The sequence below is a fragment of the Homo sapiens genome, chromosome 13 (assembly GCF_000001405.40).
Source record: "Homo sapiens chromosome 13, GRCh38.p14 Primary Assembly".
Taxonomy (NCBI): domain Eukaryota; kingdom Metazoa; phylum Chordata; class Mammalia; order Primates; family Hominidae; genus Homo; species Homo sapiens.
This window is the reverse complement of record NC_000013.11, coordinates 108524478-108543270: the sequence shown is the minus strand read 5'-3', so window position 1 is coordinate 108543270 and position 18793 is coordinate 108524478. Positions and strand designations below refer to the sequence as shown.

Genomic DNA, 18793 nt, shown 5'->3' with positions numbered 1-18793 from the left:
TTTACAATCATAGTAAACATAAATTATTGCAATTAAACTTTAATACTTGGAAATATCTCTTTTTCAAACAAACCATCAAAGAATTATTCTTTATTTTACTCACTTAAAAATTACATTCCTTATCCCTCCCAAATATTTATTTGATACTTTCTTTAGCGAAAGACTTGTTATATTTGATATTGAAAATGTGTTTTATTAAAATAAATACACAGAATATTTTGAGATGAAATCAAATACCTAATTTCTGTGGAATACAAAACTATGTTTTCTCCGTTTGTATTCAGCTTCAGGTTGATGTTGACATATTCATTTAAAAAACCATAACTGTGTAGCATAATAATAAAATCATATTATTATAAATAATCACATTATTATAAAATAAATTACTATAAATAAATATAAACTATAAATGAACATGGTTTATTTAAAATTAATAATAGAATAAAATGCAGATGGGCTTTCTCACATTTTCCCTGATTCATGGCTTTATTCCAGTTACAGAAAACTCTGTTTCTCAAGAACACTCTTCAAAACTATAGGGAAAATCAATTTTCTTCTGTTATTATGGAAAATCCTCCAGTACCTAGTCCATACATCAATAGCCACATTTATATAAATGCCAGTGAATTTATTACTTCCTGAGAATTTGTATGTAAGATTTCAAAATAAAGGCTAATCTCAAGGATAAATTTGCATGTTTAACTCATTTCAATAAATACCATAGGATTTGAGACACCAAAGAAAGTCACAAAACCAAAAACCCCAGTAACTATTTATTTTTAAAAAATATTTTAACTTTTATTTTAGGTTCAGGGGTACAGATGCAGGTTTGTTACAAAGGTAAACTTGTGACGGGGGTTGGGGGTTGGTTTACAGATTATTTCATCACGCAGATACTAAGCATATTACCTGACAGTTTTTTTTTCTAAACTTCTCTCTCCTCCCAAATTCTTCCCTTAAGTAAGCCCCAGTTTTTTCTGTTCCCCTTTCTGTCCCTGTGTTCTCATTATTTAGTTCTCACTTGTGAGACCATGAGATTTTTTGTTTGTTTGTTTCTGTGTTAGTTTGTTAAGGATGATGGCCTCCAGTTCCATCCACATTCCTGCAAATGGCATGATCTCATTCTTTCTTATGGCTATATAGTATTCCATGGTCCATGATGTATATGTACCACATTTTCTTTATCCAGTCTAGTGTTGATGAGAATTTAGGTTGATTCCATGTCTTTGCTATTGTCAATAGTGCTGCAATGAACATAAGCATGCATGTGTGTTTATAATAAGATGATTTGTATTCCTTTGAGTAAATACCCAGCAGTGGGATTGCCGAGTCAAATGGTAGCTCTGTTTTTTGTCCTTTGAGGAATCACCAAACTGCTTTCCACAATGGCTGAACTAATTTACATTCCTACCAGCAATGTATAAGAGTTCTCATTTCTCCACAAGCTCGCCAGCATCTGTTATTTTTTGACTTTTTAATAACAGCCATTTGACTGTTGAGAGATGGTATCTTATTGTGGTTTTGACTTGCATGTCTCTAATGATTAGTGATATTGAGCATTTTTATATGCTTGTTTTGGCCACATGTAGGTCTTCTTTTGAATAAATATTGTTGAATCTAGAGTATCTGAAGGTTTATCCTGCTATTATATTAAATTTTCAGTATAATGAAAACTTTTTATGGTAAAATGTTTAAAAGAAAGATGAAAAGAAATGCTGGACCCATAATCTTTAAAGCACAAAAACTAAAGAGTGAAATATAATAGCCTGTAAGGTAAAATCAATTATCTATTCAATATTATAGTGTATCAAAAAGTGTATTTCTTATAGAATATTGTGAATACATGTTTTATTTTAATATTTATAAAATACAAAAATTAATGTATATATAAAACAAATATATAAATTAATAGATGCATAATTATACATATATCTATGAATTAATACATGTATCTATATAATATAGATGTTATATAGACACATTTATACATAATTTAGATGTATAATGTAATATATAAGTTATATGTCTGTAAAGTCACTTACAGAAAATATGTAAATTTTTACTTCAATTTCCCCATATTGATTTGAAAAAATATTGTCACAAATAGTCAATATTAAGGGGTCATCCAGGGCTACTGAGGCATATTGAGTAATAAGCATTCAGTAACAGCCAACTGCCCTATGAAACTGTTGTGGTCTTCCTGCAAGGAAAGTCTCAGGTCATGTCAAATGAAAACAACGTTCATTCCGTCCCAATATTTATGTCACCTAAGAGTATTTCCTAATCTTTAAATCAACACTTCGCATGTGCATTCTGATCAATATAATAAAGTTTTATAATTTTCAACATCTTAGAAATTAAAATTTTGCTATATATTTGTGAATAAGACAGGACTTTCTCTTTCTTGGCTGACATTGAGGTTACTGTCTCAAAATAGTTCTGCCTGTAGAAAAACATGAAGCTTTGCACTTCTGATCCAACTAAGCTCTTCAAACTGTGCCTTGTGAGAGTGGCTCTTCAGAAATGGGCTCTTTGCAGCACTCATGTTATGGTGAATATGGAAGCAGTTGAAGAAATTGGTGTGCTGTATTCCTACCTAAGGAACTTATACTCCAGCAAAAATTATTCATATTATTTGTTTATTTTCTGGGAGTGGCAAAGAGATCTCTAATGTTCCAGGCTTTAACAGACTGAACCTATGAAATTTGTTATGTATAATCACACAAGTTCTAAATAGTTTCTTCCTTGTGAAAAGGCAATATCAGTTACACCATACAATCACTCAGTGTGTTCCTCAGTCATACCAGATTCACTTCTTTTGGATGGCATCTTAAAGTGTCACTGTGAGTAAAACAAAGGCTTGATCCACATGGGCCAAAAAAAGTTTTTCCAATATTCTCATTTGACACAAGAGCCACTGTTCTTTTACAGTTCTACAAAATACAACCTTTGTGACAAAGTAAAACCTATAACAATAAGTCATTTAAAATTCATATGGCATAGCCTTTGACATTTCTACCATTTACATTGCTCATGGCATGAATATGCATATATGACTATAATAACAAATATTTTCCTACCAGTGTCCTTCATTACAGTGTAGTTTGTTCAGGCTCTCATTCAATAGTTGCACAAGAAAAGTGAGAAGCTAGTCATGTAATTACAGAAATCAAGCTGATCATCCCTAAAAATCTTGAATCATTCATTTGCTGATAATATACTTCTCCCATTACATTATTACTTTTAATTTTAGTGACAAACATTGGTTGCATAACCTTGGCATGTAACTGTCATTTGCAATGACACTAATAATTTAATACTCTTTTTCCAACTCACATTTCTGAGCTCCTTGAAAATTGTGCCAGTGTAGAGCCAAGGAAAAAGTAAGGAAAAGAGAAGTGCATTTCCTCCCATTAGATAACCAGTAACAAAGACAAAATGAAATATTGATCTACTCTTTTGGCTGAGCTTTCTCAGGTTTGCAACCATCTTCTCCTCAGCTGTGGACAGAGCAAAATCAGAAATTGATTATCTCTCACTTGTAGACCTAAGCTCCATGGATCTTCAATGGTTGACTAGTTAATTAAATACAGTAACAGAATCCCAGATTAGCGCTTTCTCCATAAGCATGCCATTAATCAACCCATTTTTCAATGCGAGAAATATCTGCACACAACTACTGTAATATTACTTCTTAGCCATAGCCTTCTATCTACTATTTAGCAGATCGTAAGTTATTTGTCCCACAGGGAGGTTCATCATCAATTCACACCTTCTTCTCCTGGTTTCCTAGACAAACTATGAAGTTTAATAGATGTTTTAGATCTTTCATCATTCATTTGCTCAAAGAATGAAATGCCAGCTCCCTAAGAACTGAAAACTGAATGGAGAGGGTGTCCATGCAGATTGATATTTGACCAATACCAGTGAAATGTGGGCCCTGTCCTGCCTTGCAATGTACAGTGGTGAGGAGTTCTTGAGTTTATAAAAGCAGCTTACTCTTCTGCAAAGCAGATATTGAATATTATGTGTCTGAGCATTAAATTATTAACGTTAAAAAGGACATTTTCTTCAAAAGAATTTTTGGCAAATACTGATAAAAACCATCCCTCTTAACTCAGGTACAGGACATGAAACACTGGAAAGCAATTTTTTCCGATAAATAACAACTCAGGCAGTCTATTTTTTAAATCTGGTGCTGTAGCTAGTAAGCTGCAGGTGATGCATCTCACAGGGAAAAGCACCAGGTAAAGGCAGAGGTGAACAGGATGGAGAAAAATGCAATAGATTAGACTGAGTGGTACACACTATTCAGTTGGGAGAACTCAAAAAGGGAAGATTTAAAACTTCCATTGCTTCTTTTCAAACCTAAGTTGAATATTCTTACAGACACCAGTGGCCAGATCCAAGTTTGCAACTGGTGACTGGCATGGTACAAAAACTAACTTTATGTTAGAGTGCCATGTGAGAATTTTTTGTTCATTCCACAAAAAGATTTTGAGTTTTCTAGCCATAGTGCTAAACACTAGGGACACAGAAATAAATAAAAAGAGCATCTGTTGTCTAATATTTCAGAGTGAAGTTGGAGGGAGGCAAGGATACTGTATCAGTAGGGATCAATCTTAGCAGCTACCTCTCCAGAATGATAAGCCTCCCTGAAAAAATCACCCATAGGTTCCTCTACCTCTTGACTTTCATTCCATTCAGAGCTAAGCTTTGGTGAGGAATAATCAGTATTTGCTGTCTTCACTTTGTCACCCCAACATTCACTCTCAGACCCACTGTGTTCTGGATTTGATCCCTCTGTCCCATACCCACACAACCACTAGTGGAATTTCTCTTGATGAAGTCACTAATAATCCATTAATTTCTAAAGTGAAAAATCTTGCTCACTTACCTTGTTTAACATTGGTTTTCCTTCTCACGATATTATACTTCCTCAGTGATCTTTCTAGTCTCTGATTACTTCTCCTATCTGCACAGTTTTTCTACTCTCTGTATCCTTTAAATATTCTTATTTGTTCTGATCCCACCTTGAACCTTTCTTTCTGTGACATTCTCTTTATTAGTCTATCTACTTTCATGGATTAAATTATCTCCCATACATAAATATATTTTGTGCTAATAGAAAAAGAAAGTGCTCATTCTAGAAGGAAACCTAGAAAAAACTCTTCTGGACATTGGCCTCAGCAAAGAACTTACTACTAAGATCTCCAAAGCAAAGGCAACAAGAACAAAAATAGACAAATGGGCTTAAACTAAAGTGCTTCTGCACAGCAAAAGAAACAAGCAACAGAATGAACAGACAGACTACAGAATGGGAGAAAATATTTTCAAACTATGCATCTGACAAAGGATTAATACCCACAGTCTACTAAGAATTTAAACAACTCAACAAGAAAAATAAATAAATAAATAATCCCATTAAAAAGTGGGCAAAGGACATGAACAGACATTTCTCAAAAAAAGACATACAAGTGGAAAACACAGGAAAAAAATTATCAGCATCACTAATCATCAAAGAAATACAAATTAAAATCACAATGAGATACTATCTCACACCAGTCACAATGGCTATTATTAAACATCAAAAACAAAAAACAAAAAAACAAATGTTGGTGAGGATTCAGAGAAAAGGAAATGCTTACCCACTGTTAGTGTTAATGTAAATTAGTACAACCTCTATGGAAAACAGTATGGAGATTTCTCAAGAAACTAAACATAAAACTACTTCTCAACCCAGTAATCCTTCTATTGGATGTCTACCCAAAGAAAAGGATTGTTATATCAAAAAGACACCTATAGTCATATGTTTATCACAGCGTTATCCACAATAGCAAAGTCATGGAATCAACCTAAGTGTCCATCAACTGATGATTGAATAAAGAAACTGTGGAAAATATACATCATGGAATACTATGCAGCCATAAAAAGGAAATAAAATCATGTCATTTGCAGCATCATGAATGGAGCTGGAGGCCATTATCGTAAGTGAAATAACTCAGAAACAAAAAATCAAATACCACTTGTTTTCACTTATAAGTGGGAACTAAATGATGGGTACACACGGAAATAAAAATGGGAATAACAGATACTGGGAACTCCAAAATGCAGAGGTGGGTGAGGGTTGAAAAATAACCTATTCTGTTCATTATTAGGTACATTGTTCATTATTCATCTGGTACACTATTCATTATTCAGTTCATGGGTACACTGGAAGCCCAAACTTCACCATTTTCCAATGTATCCATGTAAGAAAACTGCACATGTGCACTCCTTCATCTATAAAAATAAAGAAAGAGCATAATACTTGACATCAGAAACCCCAAACATTAGTTCCAGGAATCTCAACAACACTATTTGTGATGATGGACTTAAGGTTGGATTTATTTGGTATCCTGTTCCGTCTCCTTAGTAAAATGACAGGTTTAGATTTTAAATATTTCTTACTTCCTCCATTTTTATAATAATATATTAAGACATTCAACTGTTGAATGTCTTATTGTATAGACATATCTTATTTCTCACACAGAAAAGGTGAGAAATAAGAAAAGTCTTCAAATCTGGTTTATACTAAAAGTTTCAGGTATTCCTTCATTAACATTTCCAAAGTTATTGTCAAGTCATTAAATTGACTGATTCACTTCTGAGAGTTTCATTATTAAGTGATGAGTGAACAATACATTCATTTTCCCTATATGTGGATGAGAAAACTAAGATATAGACAGGTTATGTAACTTGTCCAAGGTTACAGAGCTTGTTACTGTTATTGTTAAAATTCAACCCCCACCCCCACCCTGACTCCTGAATACATGAAATACAGCTCCAAGAAACAAGGATTCCATGTATTTCATAACTTAAACTGTTTGCTCTCTCTTGCAACATTATTTTCAACTTGTCCCCTCCCCAGCTTTAATAATCTAATAAACTTATTCCACTGTGAATGTCCAGGGTAGTCACTGCAAAACTAAATCCCTGAGAAGGAGTCAGTTGTAAATCTGTAGCTCTCTGACTACTGGTCCTAAAGAGATTACATCAAAACTGAAATTGTTTCTCTCTTCTCCAAGTGACTCAGTTAAGGCTGAGCTGAAGCAGATCACTAGGGAATTAATAAATACTCTCACTTAGCCTACACTATATATTCCAATGGCATTGATTTTTAAAAATTACCGCATCTAGCAATGTTCCTGTATCCAACCAAAGTAAGCACACTCACACACGTGCACACACACATGCACACACACATGCACACACACGTATGCGCATATACACACAGACATAAAACACAGAAAGGCTAAACATGTGGAGTTCCACAAAAGTGAAGTTTTCTTTTATCAGCTGGACATCTCCTAAAATATCCCCACTCCAAATTTTCAGAAGAAAGGGTATTAAGACAAATAAAATGATCAACATTAAGTAAAATATTGAAAAGTACTTAGTATTTTGGAAGCAGCTGGGTCTATAGTTAAAGCACAAGGCATGGTTCTAGCCTATTGACACTACAGTGAAGTAATACCACTCTTGAATTCTGGTTTGACCTGAGGACACCTAAGAAAAAAGACTACATATTCCATTACTTTTTGTAGCTAAGTAAAGCCATAGAGTAAATTCCATTCTACGGGGCTCAAGGGAAAGTGATGAATGAAATTTTCCACAGATTCCCTAACAGGGAATTATTATATTAAACACTATTCTCTGAAAGGGAAATGGCATATTTTGTTATTTTTCAAATAATATTTTTCAAATAATAGTGTTTAATAGTGTTAATAGTGTTAACCTTGAAAGTTAAAATGTGAGAATGTTCATTGGAGCTGCAGCTACCATATTGAACTATGGGAAGCCACCAGATAGAAGGATTCTGGTCCGGAATGATCATGGGACCACCATGCCAGCCCCAGGCTGTGCATGTCAGTCAACAGATAGGAAAGAAAAATAAGCATCTATATTATTGAGACAATTGGTATTTTAGATGTTGTTTTTTTGTTTGTTTGTTTGTCACATTATCCAAGCCTGTACTTAAGTAATACAAGTGAATAGAACTGAGAGCTGTTGATGTTTGGCAGATTATTTCCCCATTCAAAGAGTTTCCTCTTTGCTAAAAAAATTTTTAAAAAGAGAAGAGCAAGAAAGAACAAGAGGAAGAGGAGGAAGAAAAAGGAGGAGGAGAAGGAGGGAAGGAAGAGGAAGAGGGGAAGAAGAAGAGGAAGAAGAACAAGAGGAGGAAGAAGAAGAGGAAGGAGGAGAAGGAGAGGAGGAAGAGGAAAGAAGAGGAAGGAAGGAAGGAGAGAAGAAAGAGGAGAAGAAAGAAGAAAAAAGGAGGAAGAAGAAAGAAGAGAGGAAGAAGGAAGAGAGGAAGGAGAAGAAGAAGGAGAAGAAGAAAGAGGAGAAGAAGAAGAAGGAGAAGAAGGAGGAGGAAGAGGATGAGGAGGAGAAGAAGAAGAGGAAGAAGAGGAGGAGGAGGAAGGAAGGAAGAAGAAGAAGAAAGAAGGAGGAAGAAGAAGGAAGAAGAGGAGGAGGAGGAGGAGTTGTAGTAGCAGTAGTAAGGAACTGTCAGGTATTACTTTTCACCTATAGAGATTAGTTGGCTACAGAGTCAACAAAATGAGCCAATGAAGAGCAGAGATTCCTCTTTGAGGGTTTTTTTTTAATGTAGAAGCAGAGTGAGTAGAGACTCCGTGTTTCCCACTTTCACCCTTCCTGGGTAGAATTGGAAAAAAAAAACTGCAATTTTTTCGTAAAAGGTTTAGTATCTTATGTGTGGACATTCAGGAAAAATGCCAGGAGTCAGCTACTTTGACAGCAGCATGACCCATTTTTCTTGCTGTGTCTACCAAACCTAAGAACAATCAAGTAAATTTGGGATTCTCTGAGCACTGGGTTTCTTCTGGGGCTAATGAATATTATGTCAAAACTAAAGACAGCTTTCCCTAGAAGCTTTAGGATAGTGAAGATGAAACTTCCCACTTTCAATAACAATATGTAGAAATGGTGGTCCAAGGGAGGGAAATGGTTTCTAAGAATGATCCTAAAAGATGACTAAAATAATATTCTTGTTTGAAGGCTTTCTTCTGAATTTCCCATTAATATAGCTGATGCAATAAAAACAATTTTTAGACACAAGTACAATTAAAGGATAAACAAAATGTTAAACCAGAACTTGAAAGCAAGAAAATAACCTCTTAGAACCAGAACAAGCACCGTTTCAATTCTTGCGTAATGATTATAGTAATTAGCTTGAGTTGTAACACTTCCAGTAATATCCAGCCTATCTGAGCAAACATAAAAAAAATCTGCTTTCACAACTATGCAAAACTAAGGGGGCAGAGGAAGGTGATATAAAATTTCCAGTAAGGAAAAATGTTCCAGTATTAAAATCAGAGAACCATTTGCAGGGTGCTATATATGTTCAATTGAATATATGCAGATGAAATCACTAAAAAAGAACATCTGCATTTTTTCCTTCAAGGCCATTTTAATTCATTTAATAATAGTTTATTTATATGGAAAATAGAATGTCATCCCGAATGGAAATCTTTATTTTTTCCTGACTAAATACATATTTGCTGTGCTTATTTCAAGGAAAGCATACAAATTAGAACCAGAAAAAGTGATAAATACATATGACAGAGTCTGGGAGAATTCCAGTGCAGAGCTTCTATTGTCCTCAAAGACACTGCACTCCCAGCATCAATGTGTGGCATACACACAAAGAGCACTGCCAATCCAGAAAGTTCACCCAAGCTTCAGTGTCCAAAATTTCTACTGAGGCTTCACTAAAAAAGCATGATTGATGATGCATTGCCCACATGGCTGAACTCAGTCTTTAGGTCAAATTATATCATGTAACCTAATCATATGATGGTCATTCTGGCATGGACAACTCCCACCCCTAGATTATGTGGTTGGGCCAGCCCCACCCTGAGTCATCTCATTAGCCTTAAACTATCAGGTGTGGTCCCAGAGGCATACCATGCACAACAAAGACACTTCTATCACCTCAAAAAGTCCAACACTTAAATAGTTACCTCTCGGGAGGTAACTTCTCTTTGGATGAGGCCAAATCCTTGACTACACAGGTTGCTACTAGCTATGTAAACCCCCTTACCCTGACATGAATGGTCCTCTCTATGACACAATGTGGTCTCCCCTCACCACCATTCCAAATCAGTTTCACCAGTAACCATGCTTCATAATTTGAAAGGAAAACAGAAGTCATCAGATGGGAATCCACCCATCTTTCCATCAACAAACCATACCTTTTCTTCCTTCCATCTAAATGAAGCAGGTATCTCTTCTCACAGTGGAGGCCAGCTGGCTTTTGCTCTTCTGGGTGCCATTCTCTTCCATTTTGTTAGGGACCTCACTTTCTAAGGTAGGGGCCTCTTTCTCTTGCATTGTCATGCAATCCTTCACACTAGATGTGTCCTCTCATATACAAACCTTCTCTAAAACATTGTATTTTGTAATATTTATTTATTTTGATACAGGGCCTTGCTCTATCATCCAGTCTGGAGTGCAGTGATGCAATCATAGTTCACTGCAGTCTCGACCTCCCAGGTTTAAGTGATGCTCCTGCCCCAGCCTCCTAAGTAGCTGGAACCACAGACACGTGCCACCATGCCCAGATAATTTTTAATTGTGTAGAGATGGGGGTCTCACTATGTTGCCCAAGCTGGTTTTCAATTCCTGGGTTCAAGCAATCCTCCCACCTCAGCATCCCAAGTCCTGGGATTACAGGCATGAGCCATGACACCCAGCCTCTTTTGTTTTAAAAACATTCATTTCTCCCATCTCTTTCAGTTACCACACTCTCTCTTCTCAAAAACAAGCAGAAGATGGTTATTTTCTCACTCCTCATCCCTCTTTTTCTCCTGATATCACTACTCTGTTCAAACAGCTCCTTTGAAGATAACCAATAAATTCCATGTTGTTAATACTGTTACCCATTTGACTTAAACACATAGTGGGATCTTACACAGCTAATTACCCCTCTTCTTGAAGTAGTTGCTTCTTCTGCTCTTATTTTTCATTTATTTATTTTTATTTTATTTATTTATTTATTTTTGAGACAGAGTCTCACTCTGTCACCCAGGCTAGAGTGCACTGGCACAATCTCGGCTCACGGCAACCTCTGTCTCCTGGGTTCAAGCGATTCTCCTGCCTCAGCCTCCCAAGTAGCTGGGATTACAGGTGTGCACCACTACGCCTGGCTAATTTTTGTATTTTCAGTAAGACAGGGTTTCACCATGTTGACCAGGCTGGTCTCGAACCCCTAACCTCAAGTGATCTGCCCTTCTTGGCCTCCCAAAGTGCTAGGATTACAGGCGTGAGCCACCAGGCCGGGCCTTCTGCTTTTGATGACCTCATACTCTTTTACATATCCCTTGACTCTTCTGGCCTAATTGTGCTGTTAGTTTGATCTTTAAATGTAGGGGTTCTTCAATGTCTAGAACCAGTCTTTCTCTTCTCATTCTTCTATATCCCTAAGTGAGCCCATCCATATTTATATTCATTAATTGTTAGCCAGTGACTTCTAATATTTTATTTACAGGCCCTGTGCCTTGTGTGAGCTTTGTAAAGCATATGTCAACTGTCTGACTCACATTTCATTTGAGTATCTCATAGTTTTCTCAAAAAAAAAAAAATTAGAAAGCATGTTCTAGGCTTAGCTGTATCTTCTTTCATGTTTCCTGTCTCAGTAACGAGTACGTCCACCCATCAGCTGCTCATATCAGAAACAGGGTCATCCTCCTTCCTATCTTCCTCTTCTCCCGAAGCCCACTTTAAACCTATCTCAAGTCCAAATCTACCTCTAAAATAGATCTCTGAAATGCATCCACTTCTCTCCACTTCTGCCACCTAGTCAGCAAAGCACTCACTTCCGTAGAAACTGCTAAGACCATCTTCATTGCACACTGTCCTTGTTCTGCTTCCTCCCGATGTTCTTCCTCCTCCTCCAGAGTGGTCTTTACATTGCTCTTATTGTCTTATGTGTAAAACCCTTCAAGGGCTACACATTTCTCTAAGAACAAAGACACTAATCCTTAATACAGCTTCAAAGCCCTGCATACTCTGACCTCGGACTAACTTTGCCAACCTCACCTTAAACTATCTTCTCCACTGTGAATTTCAGTCTCACTGACTTTCTTTTACTTCCTGGAAACCACCTCACCAGGCCAACTCCACGTTTGCACAAATGCTATTCTCTCTACCAGCAAGGCTGATCTTTGTATGACTGAATACTTTCTAAACCTAAATGCAGTGAAAAAAAGTCATGAAAGAAAAGATCCATAACTATGAAGGTAACAAAATTAAATTGTCTCCATTTGAAAAAAAACCATAAACAAACGCAAGAAAAACTTAGAAAACATTGACAAGATTTCTCACGATAGAGTTGATAGCATCATGTGAATCAATAAAAAAATTTTAAGACCCAACTATATAAATGGGTAAAGATAATTATCCCAAATAGGAAATATAGTGATAATACTCATTAACAATATCAAACCTCAATAGTAATTAAAAGTATAACATAACATTATATTGTATATATGATACATTTTGTTATATTTTGAACATAAACACAAGTAAAACTTAAGTTTTTACCATAAGCTAGGCACTTAGCTAAATGTGAATATGGCAGTGATCAAAACAGACATATTCTGTCTCCACAGAGCCTGTATTTTAGCAAAGCAATATCCATTAACCAAATAATCACATGGAATTAATATGTTAGTAACATAATGAAACTAAAGAGCTGGCTTTTTAATTGCAGTGCCATTATTAAAGGAAGTAACCTAGGTGAACGTTTGATCTATTCAAATCTATCTTCTCTGAAAGAAATAATTCTAGAAGTCAACAACTGGTGTTATCCTGTCACACCAAACATTGAAATATCATCATCCCATTCTTCTTTGCAGCTTTTAGTCCTGTTTATCCTTTTAGTCTCTCATTTTTTCAGCATCCTTAATGCTACATCTCCTCTTTTGCTTTTGGTTCCCAGTAATTCGTCCTTCGACTGACTCTGATACATGGCTGTTGGTAGAGTGGACTCTCACCCTCCCAGTTCTTCTCTCTCTAGATTTCCCCCATATAACTTAGAAGTGACTTGGAAGTAGCAGAAATGGAAGGATCCACAGAAGTGTCTAGAAAGTCTGAGCAGCAGGAAATGCAGAGAGACATCAGCACTGAGCTCACTTGGGAGCAGAAGGAATTGGGAATGCACACGGACCCACCTGTCCAGGTGGGAGGCTTACTGTGGGGATGGCAGGAAATTGTTGGGAACTACTTGGGGTTCTAGAAAACCTTAGTGAGAGAGAAATCAAATAAATATTCTTCAATCAAATCCCCCACTCTGCCCCTGTGCTGTAACAGAGTGGATCAAAGGCAATCGCAGTGGCACCCAAGTGGGTTACCAGATCAACTTAGCTGAAGTCACAATAAAATTGGTTCTGTTGCACCAGGGATGATCATAAGAGGTGTTCAGTATTCCCAAGGATTTGTAAATGAGAACCCTTGTGGTTAATCAAATCAGCATGAATTAAAGAAACACTCTTCAAGATGAGGCTGTAATTTTGGGAAAGATCATTGTAACTTACCCTGCCATCCAGTTATGCACTTCACAATTAACTGTCAGGTTCAAGGTGAATTGATCCTGAAGATAACCCAGACTCAGGTCCCCAGTCTGCCTCTGATTATGTTTTTCATTTTATGTTACCCAACATTTTTAGTTCATGTGCACGGCGAACATCAGTAGCTCTAGTGAAGCTTGCCCTGGTGGGGTTTTAATAGAGAAAACACAAATCCAAAACACTGGAAGACCTGTGTGCTTTCAAAAGAGACCACTTTAGTAAGATTAAAAAAAAATGGCTTTAAAGTATGAATACATGGTATCCAGATTGGCAGTTCAGCAAATGAAGAAGTGTGCAAGGAAGAGTATACTCTCCTCAAGGCTCATGCTAGTTTCTGGAGTGAGAAAAGGGTGCACGTAACTCTACCTGCTCTGAATGCCCTAGTGATCCTCATGCTCCAGCAGAGAGATGAGAATCAAAGATCAGAAAAAAATACGTAAGAAAATATTTATGCTAACAATAAAAAATATAAGGAAATATATAGTTAAACCATAAGGACAATTGGTGGTTAGTACTGGTGTTTGGAAGGCAGGAGATTATTCCAAGTTGGGGTGAATTAGTAAGAAAGTCTTTCTGGAGGAAATGATATTTAGGTTATGTTCTGAAAGATTTGGAAATGTAAAGAGAGAGATGAAAGGGAATGTTAAAAGGAGTATGCAGTTTTCTGGGACCTGAAATGTTGCCATCGAGTCGTCACTTCCAACCTGGGGAAAGTTAAACCCTACACTGGTCTAAACCTTTACCTTGTTTCCTTCCCACCCCTTCATTTGCTTAAGTTATTGTCAGTTTCTCTTCCTCTCACATCGTCAAAAGCTGAAAACTTCATTTTTAGAAAAAAGAGAGAGAAGAGAGAAGAGGGAGGAGACAGGAGGGGAGAGGGGAGGCAAAGGGGAGGTGAGGGGAGGTGAAGGGAAGGGAGGTGACGTGACGGGAGAGGAGGGGAAAGGAGAGGAGACGAGAGGAGAGGAGAGGGGAGGGAAGAGGAGGGAAGGGAAGGGGAGAGGAGGGGAGGGGGAGAGGGGAGGGGAGGAGAGGAGAGGGGAGAGGAGGGGAAAGGGGAGGGGAGGGGAGAGGAGAGGAGAGGAGAGGAGAGACAAAATAAAATGAAGCTACTCTCATGTTTCAAGTACAATTTGGGGAACTAATATTTTCTAGTTAATACATGAACTAGCATTTTAAATCATGCTATATTAACTTAGAACAGATAGCTCCATGTCTCCTCACTGTATTAGTTTCCTGTCCTATTCTTGGCATCAGACCTAACGTTTGTCATCCCAAATTCTATCCTCACAGCCAGATAAATAGCCCTAAGTTATGCCATCTGGCCAAAAGGTAAACTGTTAATGGGGTCTGCCCCTTTTTGAGATTTTGTCCTTCAGCTAATTCACAATGCTTTGGTTTAAAATGCCATATAAACAAAAGGCTGTCGGATATGGTAAATACAAGTGCTAATCTGTTTTCATGAAGCATTCATCCCACTTAATTGCTTAAAGCTTCACCTCTGTAGATGCCTGTCACTATTTTCTGTATTTATCTTATTTTCCATAATCTTACTTCCTCATGTTTCAGTAAATGCCTGGAGATCCTGTAGTTACCAATTTTCCAGTGTCAAAATGAATGGAATCAGGTTTCAGAGAGTGAACTGTCACTGAAGTGACATGTTTACACCAGAGATACACAGATACCAGATCATAAAGCAAGGGGCACATTTGGAAAGTCCTTGTTAAACAGAAAACTAACACCCTCACTTTCAAAGAATCCTTTCATTGGCATACTGCTAACTTAGAAATGTTAGAAAGGCCAATTGGAAAAAAAATGCACTTTCAAAAATAAGGTAGGCAAAACAAACAGAGTTATTACTGAACTGAAATTCCTACATTAATAATCCTTACAAATTAAATAAATAAGTTATGAAACTAACCTGTTATTTTCAAAGAATCCTTTTATTGGCATATACCATTACCACAGAGATTTTAGAAAGGCAGCTGTATACAAAATGATCACTCATATTATTCAAATTACCAAACAATTTTGAGCAGCTACAGGAATCCTTGCAAAATGATTTCTTTAATGAGTATGCATAGAAAGAGAAAATTATAAGCCTCATATTCTTTGACTCAGCCATTACAATAAACTATAACTGAAGCCAGAGGTTACAAACCTTAATTAACAGTTTAATAAGGAGTCATGCAAATAATTTGGAGGCTGTTGATATGGGGAATTTGTTAAATCAAGGTATGCACTTAACCATTACATCTTATTAAAAAACAAGAAAAATTTTGGCAATATTTACTTAGTAGATATGATCAAACTTGACTACAGTTAATCTGCAGCTTGTCATCATGAACTTGGGTTTCTAAATGAAATCCCTTTGCTAAGAGAAAAAAAAACCCTTCCTATAAATATTGAAAAATCTGTTTTAATAATGTATAAGTTCCAGGGACTGTGTTTATGATTGTTCATTGCAAAAAGCTACATTTGTTAGAAATTTGTCTTAGAAAGCCGTGCTTGTTCACTTGGAGTTATGAACCATTTTGTCATAGAAAGTTGATTTTATCCACCAACCTCATGATAATTAACTCACCATCTGTGATCACACAGTATTTTGTAACTTCATCCAAATTTAATGACTTGACCTTATTTGTTAGTGAAAGAAAAAGATAGCAGACTCTATTGCCTTTCCACAAGATCAGCCTATTGCAGAACTAAGATTCAAACCTAGGCAGTTTGTCTAAAAGTCTGTGCTTGTTATAACCCTGACAGTACTCTGCTTCTGCATAAAAAGTAAGTAATAGACTAGAGAGAAATATTAGCAGTAGAATCAGCAGATGTAGTGACCAACAGAAAAAGGCAGAAATAACAGAATATTCACAGGAAGATACAATGTATTTATTAATGACATACTTTGACAAAAGTTCAAATTTGGTAGGTTGAGGAATAAATGGAAAGTGAGAAATTGGATAAAATATGTAAATTGTATTTTTGAGATTATTAAAATTCTTCTTTTTAACTATAATTTAAATTAAAATGATTTCGTTTGTAAAGATTCTAGCACTATTCGTTCAGTAATAATCTTGTTTGTTTTGCCCAAGCATTTCCTGAAAGGCTCTATTTCAACGCGCTTAAACCATTAACAAATCAGCATTTGGGGAAAAAAGATGCCCCCACAAAACTGCTGCCATGGAAACAACAAATCTTAAAGATCACTTAAATATTGTTGAGGTCATTATTTTTCAAATACAATATAAAAAATCATTTTTTACCTCTCTGAAAGTTTTCTTCTCTTAAGGCATATATGGTGACTTCTAAGGTAGCCTTTTTATGAAATGTATTTATTCATTTTTGTCTCACAAACATTCAAGTTCTACCAAAAAGTTAGTAAATTAATAAGTTTTATAATTGATTTTGGAAGCAAATGCATGCGTAGTCTAAATTTTTCATCAGATATAGTATCTGTAACAAACCTTCTACTCTTCCAAATTCCCCAAAATTGCAACATATGCTTCCAAGAAAAAGAATAGAGTATCTGTCCAGTTACTAGTAATCTTAAAAGGGCAGGAACAGCTGCCAAAGTCACTAGAGGTTGGTCATCCATGTATGTGTTTTTTGAGGGAAACAATCTGTAATTAATTCTGCATTCACCAGCTGGTGTCTTTCTCATCTCTCCTCCCTATCCCCTCCCCAGAAAAAAAAAAAAATCAGACCTAGGAAGATGAAGAGCAGCATCTGTTGCCACACTTAAAACAAGAAAAAAAAGGATCATTTGCTCAAGCACACACAATGTGTAAAATGAGTAAAAGTTAATGAATTCTTGATCATTGGAGTTAAGTGCAATACATTCATTAAAGAAATCCAAAATGTGTGGGTTTTATTTTTAGGATTCTCGTGAAACCCTCTTCAAGCTCATACACCTACCTGGCATGCTAGGCCACCAGAGAGTGGTCCACTGAGGAAGTGTCCACAAAGAGTTCAGTCACTTGGTTAAACGAAAAGTAGATTATGGAGTTGGTGCTATCAAGATCAGCGGTTTTTAACTTCAGGTGATTTTGCCCCCTAAACATTGTAACGATGTCTGAAGACATTTTTAGTCATCAAAACTGGGGGGTAGTGTGTGCTTCTATCATCTAGGGTAAAGGCCAGATGCACAGGGTCATCCCCACAGCAAATAAATGCACATTCAAGTGAAATAATAAAACACAGCAACCTCCCCACATGGCTCGAGGACTGTGAGCAGAGCACAGCACTCACAATGCTTAGGGAATGGTATCCGTCATTTCATTAATTCAATTATTTTCATTAGGTGCCTAACACCTGACGTGCACTTCAAACTGGGGAGAGCTAAATAATTTAGCTATGGATTTTATTGCATCCTAGTCTATACATAAAACAAAATTATTTTTGAGGCAATAATGCACTACTATAAAATGTATTTTTTGAGGTAAGTGAGTTTGGTTTCCCCTGTAAGCACTCATCACACGTTATCTCGTGGTGTCCTAGGTGATTTTGAATGGTCGTTCTCGCTGGGAACCAGAGGTAAAGTCTGTGTGTTGAGTGGACTCTAGTCCTCACACTCCCAGACACTTCACTCTCTTATTTCAGTTCTGAATATGAACTATTATTTTACAAGTTTGATTTTTTTAAAAAAGTTTTAAAAATATAAATTATAGGGCAATCATTTTAACTTGAAATCAGAAACAATATTAAACAAGCAAATGATTTTAAAAGCCCATCTTTATATTTTCAAAAATAAATTTTATGTAAAATATCCAACCCTTCAAAACAAACCTGCATATCCAAATTCCATTTGTTTTTTTCTCTTATTTCTATTATCGTCTCACTCTTAATCATTTATCTCATATATGTCATTACCCCTGTCATCACACACAATCCCAATCCATGCTCCAGAGGTTATAATCATTTTTCATAGTGGAGAATGATGGGGGTAAAATCCACTGGTGAGGTAAGGCAAAGGTGAAGGTGTTTCAAAGAGGATCATGGCACAAAGAAAGACACAGAAATGAGAAAGCACACGCACACACTTGTATTAAGCTGTTCTTACAGTTCTTACATTGCTATAAAGAAATATCTGAGACTGGATAATTTATTTTTAAAAAGAAGATGTTTAACTGGCTCACAGTTATACAGGGTTTACAAGAAGCAAG

General features: G+C 36.3%; 1 protein-coding gene across 2 annotated transcripts in view, besides 1 other annotated feature; it reads right to left on the bottom strand.

Annotated features, from left to right (window-relative positions):
- Nucleotides 1–18793, bottom strand: part of MYO16 (myosin XVI) — a 712290-nt gene that overhangs the window by 664735 nt on the left and 28762 nt on the right. The window lies entirely within an intron of this gene.
- Nucleotides 17056–17350: a silencer, noted in NCBI's record as "tiled region #13714; HepG2 Repressive non-DNase unmatched - State 24:Quies". NCBI's record gives its function as "represses a minimal TATA promoter and a strong SV40 promoter by Sharpr-MPRA in HepG2 cells {active_cell/tissue: HepG2}" and the evidence as "EXISTENCE:reporter gene assay evidence [ECO:0000049][PMID:27701403]".